The 5,051-nt window shown below is 33.6% G+C and overlaps 1 pseudogene across 1 annotated transcript; it reads left to right on the top strand.

Moving 5' to 3' along the window:
* Positions 1 to 3,344, top strand: DEFB133 (defensin beta 133 (pseudogene); annotated as a pseudogene). Its single transcript, NR_163261.1, has 2 exons — positions 1 to 59; positions 3,220 to 3,344. The product of NR_163261.1 is annotated as a defensin beta 133 (pseudogene) (transcript).
* The last annotated feature ends 1,707 nt before the right edge of the window (positions 3,345 to 5,051 follow it).

The following is a 5,051-nucleotide window of genomic DNA, read 5'->3' as shown; positions in this document are numbered from 1 at the left end:
ATGAAGATTCACGTCTTTCTCTTTGTTTTATTTTTCTTTCTGGTCCCCATTGCCACCAGGTAAAATGTAAATATTGAGAGGGTAAAATATCTTTCTGGAGAGTTGCATTTTGGTCGATGTCAACTGGAGACACAAGAGTGACCAGATTGTTAAGAGAGTGGTTGGTTACGGTCCCAAGAGTAAATCACAAATAAAGGACTGTGGTCTTACTAAACAGTAAGGCTCCGGGTGAGTCATATTATTGTATGAGACAATTTAAAGGCCTTGATTAAATGACTACAGGCTGGTTGTCCAGACTGACTACTTGGATAGAATATTAAAGTATAACCATCTGGATCCTTGAGACATTGATGGGCACTGTGTAGTAGAGTAACAGTTGGTTTTTCAGTAACCTCATGATAGGTTTGGTTATATTATGTCACAAGGTTTACTTTGAGAAAAACACAAAATGGTGTTTTCAACTGATTAAGAATTGAGAACTTCAGTGGCTGTATTACCTCAGGTCCAATTACATAGCAATTAATACTAACCAGATAATTAAATGAGTATAAACTTTGGAATAATTGATACCTGGGTTCAGATTTGGCTTTTGCCATGTATTGGCTATGCAAATCTATCAGGTTATTTACACTCATTCAGCATCAATTTCCTCATTTGCGAATTAAATACAGTAATTAAGTCTATCTGTAGTATTATGACGATTAATGATATTTAAATATACAAAATGCCCAACATAAAGTATAATACACATCAGATTCATCTTAAATAGTATTATAATTACTTTTACATTGTATTAAAACACCTTAAAAAGCAAGTAACATCTAGAAATCTCATCGAGAAACTCTTTCTTGACAACTATTGCAGGAAACAGGGGAGGTAATATTTACCATGTTGGATTTCACATACTTAAACTGTGTACCCTCATTTGTAAACTTTCATTGTACACACTACTATTAGATTAGATCAATAGCCAAAGGAAGTATCTTGATGGAGATCATCGAAAGAGCTGTTTTAACACATTTCAGGGTACTTATGATAGGAAAAGTATTTTTCTTATTTATGTAAAGACCCTGTAAACAATCATTTTACACACACCCAAGAAAATAATTCCACTCACCTTAAGAAAATAAAACAAACAAAAAAATAATAACTATAGGGCATTCTGATTTAGGAGTGGTCTAGAACTGCAAGAGTTTCCTCTTTGAAGTCCAACTTCATTCCTTAGCAGCACAGATGAGACCAAGGAAGTCTAGCTCTAACAATAAGTCTGGCTGTGAGTAAACTCAAACATCTAAGTATTTTGGATAAAAGACTCAAATCATTTTAATTGTTTTATAATTCAAGTAAAATATGTCAGATGATAATTTTGAGGATTGTTATTTTATTACATCATTCTAAACTCAAGACTAATGGAATTACAATCAGGGTTTGTTTTTACTAAAACCATATGGGGGTGATCTTAAAATAAAGAAGACTTATTTAGTGCAACCACATTTGGATAATAAAATTAGCTCCAGTTATGTTATCATGATTTACATGTGTGCCTCATGTCACTTGCTTTGGGAAAAAAGGTGAAAATTTTCATGACATTTTCAGTTTCATTATAAACCCAAGAGACATTATGAATGTATGTGCATAGATTCATCTAAAAATTGAGAAATTTGTGATTCCTTCTTGTACATAAATAAATTTTTATGTTATACATAGCTGTTATCTAGAGAGAAGCTGTTTGTTGTTTTTGTTACTAGTGGAAAAATGCTAATTTACAATTCCCACTTAAATAATGCTATTCTTTTTTTAATACTAGTGTTTGACAGCTGTCATCTTCTATTATTTGTAAATTCCAATTAAGTCAACATACATGCTTCACACCCATCATGTAGGACAGTGTAATCTGAGGATGCATTTTTAAGCTGGCAAGATAATGCTTTTTCCCTCTGGCATCAAAGGCAATAAATAGCATCTCTCTAGATAATACAAATAAAGAGATATCTATCATTAATTTATACAGTGAAAAAGCATATCTCGTTGCCTAAAATATTTGGCAAAAAATTCAAAATAATATGTTCAATTTTTTCCTAAAATGTCTAGTTACTCCAAGTAACAGTAAGACTGTATGCTAACATAACTTCACTGAAAGCAGATGACATGAATTGGGTTATCAGTACCTTTGACTCCATCTCAGTTGGATCCTATATGTTGAGCACCTAGAGAAAGAGCACCTTTCACATACCTTTGTCACTGATATTTGATAATTTACCATTACATTTAATGCTTTAACTTTGGGCGTCTTCCTCCTTATGTGACCTTTCTAAAAATTTAAACATTTTGTGAAGAGATGAAACATTAAGTCTTATGGCCAGATGTAGATGAGTTCATCAGCTGGTATATGCTATGATGATGCAATCCTGAGAACTTTATAAAGGAGAAGACTCTGAAACAAGGAAACATACGGAGATGCTGAGAGATACTACCTCTTTCTCTTTGAACTTAAGGCTTGTCATTCATGACAACACTCATCCCCCCAGCAAACCAGGCTCCTGCCTAGGCTCAAATCTTTGTGAATATTCAAAGAACCTCTCTTATCCCAGTATCTGCTAGGGTTTTTTTCACTCTTCTAATAAAAGAGATTTATAAAAAATATTCGAGCAAGATAGCAATTGAAGCAACATTAATGAATCTTCCCATTTTAAATCCTGAAACCAAAAATGTTTAAATGTTTAATTTTTTTTTTGAAATTGGAGAAAAAAGCCTTTGGGAGGTGATGGGATCATAGATATTTGTATATGCCCAAATTCATCATTTGTACACATTAAATATGTGCAGTTCTTTTTATAGCAACTATACCTCAATAAAGTTGTTTTTTTAAAAAAATCATGTTAGGTGGGTAGTAGGTAAGTAGCCATAGAAATATGTGGTGTTCATTCCAGAACTACTTGAAATCTAACAATTTTTATTTAGAAATTCTCAGGGAAAACTAAGCTTTAACAACTAGTGGATCAAGCCAGAAGTTGGAGAGGAAACTGAGAATGAAACAGAAAGTATCACAGAACAATCATCACCAGAAAAATACAAAACAAATGACTTCCCAAATCCCTACCCCAGAATGCAAGGGCTATACTTATTTTCACATTGACAACTGATTTATCCCAAGGTGGGACCTTAAGACACTTATAGTGACTCAATGGTTTATGTGCTTTCTTTTTCCCCTTTTAACAGTGAAATGTGCCGTGAAAGACACCTATAGTTGCTTTATCATGAGAGGCAAATGTCGACATGAGTGTCATGATTTTGAAAAACCAATTGGTTTCTGCACAAAACTAAATGCCAACTGTTATATGTAGAAGTTTGAAATAAAAATCAGCATCCCTCAAAAGTAAAGCACAGTGAGTACAAGGATTAGTAATAAAAGAAACTGAATTACCAACCACTGTCCAGTCTGTGATGTCCTCTTGGTTATATAGCATCATTTGAGGAGCTACGTTTTCTCCTAAGGGTCAGAGAGTAGTGGGAGACATTCAGTATATAAAGCAGCTCTGTGGAAACATTTCAGCATTTTGAATATCAATTTTCTACTAATTAGCAGAAGAAAGTTAATGACACAAGGAAGTCTAAATGACACACATAATTATTATCAGGAGTCCTCAAATCAAAGGTACCCAAACTAATAGGAGTTTAGAGAGATCAAAGAGAAGGAACAAATAGTACTTTCATCATGACATGGATCAAGAGATCTGATTCACTGCAAGCAGGAAGCCATAGCATCAGTTCAGTCCTTCATGTTTTTTTGTATTTGTTTTCTTGAACAACAAATTTTAAAACATAGGCCATAGATGAAAGTAAGGTGTAGGTGTATTGCAACTGAAACTGGAAACTGTAGAGGTCTGATGAAAAATGGAGATGTCTTATAACTAGTATCTACTGAATAGGAAATGCAGAATTCTGTGTGATTAGTACAAAAATAATTAAATCACAAAAATCATTAGGAACTGTACCGATAGTAATATCATCTTTATAGCTAATACTAACGTAAAGCTTCAAAACACTTTGAGATACAGAAATGTTTTTGATGATCACAGAATGTCTGTGAGGTAATACAATGTCCATGAAACATATAAGATAACTTCAAGACACAGATCCTGGAACCAAATTCCCAGAGTTCTAGTTTTGAGAGCAAACACTGTGTAAATGTTTATTAGATTAACCTGATTTGTTAAATGATGTTTAGAAAGTTTGTGAGGTCATACAGCTATTTAATAAATCATACAGATTGATAACTTAAGCTCTATCTTACAATGAACACAAGTCTGAACAACAAATTATACAGATTGACAACTTAAGCTCTGTCTTAACACTGAACACAAGTCTGAACACTCCCTTACTTCAAAATCATCACAGGGAGCTTGAGGAAAAGGGTAAAGTAAATACTGAGTTGAAAACGGAGGCCACATCTGAAACTAAAGAATAGACATAAGAAACGGGAAATAGGCAACCAGGGATGGTTTGATTGCCTAAATGTCCACATTTGACAACTAGCACAGGTTAATAAGCTGCTGAGATAAACTTCTAATTAGATTGATCTGACAGTCAAGTAATAGATTGCTCAAAGTTTCATTCCTTCTCTCTTTAATCACTTTCTCTTACACACAAAACTTTCCAGATTAATTATAGCAACTGAGAATTTTATAAGAAAATAGAAAGGATGTAACTCCTCAAGCTTGTATAATTAGCTTTCAAACCAATTTTTTAACTGAGTTTATAATCCACAGAAGCAAAAACTTACTCTGTAGCCTACAGCATTAATTCCTAAATCTTTTTGAATAAAGACCACTTTTACAGTCAAGAAACAACAGATGCTGGTGAGATTGCAGAGAAAAAGGAACACTTTTACACTGTTGGTGGGCGTGTAAGTGAGTTCAGCCATTGTGGAAGACAGTGTGCTGATTCCTCAAAGATCTAGAAAAAGAAATACCAATTGACCCAGCAATCTCATTACTGGGTATACATGCAAAGGAATATGTCATTCTATATAAAGTTACATGCACACGTAT

The sequence above is a fragment of the Homo sapiens genome, chromosome 6, assembly GCF_000001405.40.
Source record: "Homo sapiens chromosome 6, GRCh38.p14 Primary Assembly".
Classification (NCBI taxonomy): Eukaryota; Metazoa; Chordata; class Mammalia; order Primates; family Hominidae; genus Homo; species Homo sapiens.
Note: the sequence above shows the minus strand (reverse complement) of the source record. Positions and strands in the feature narration are given on the sequence as shown.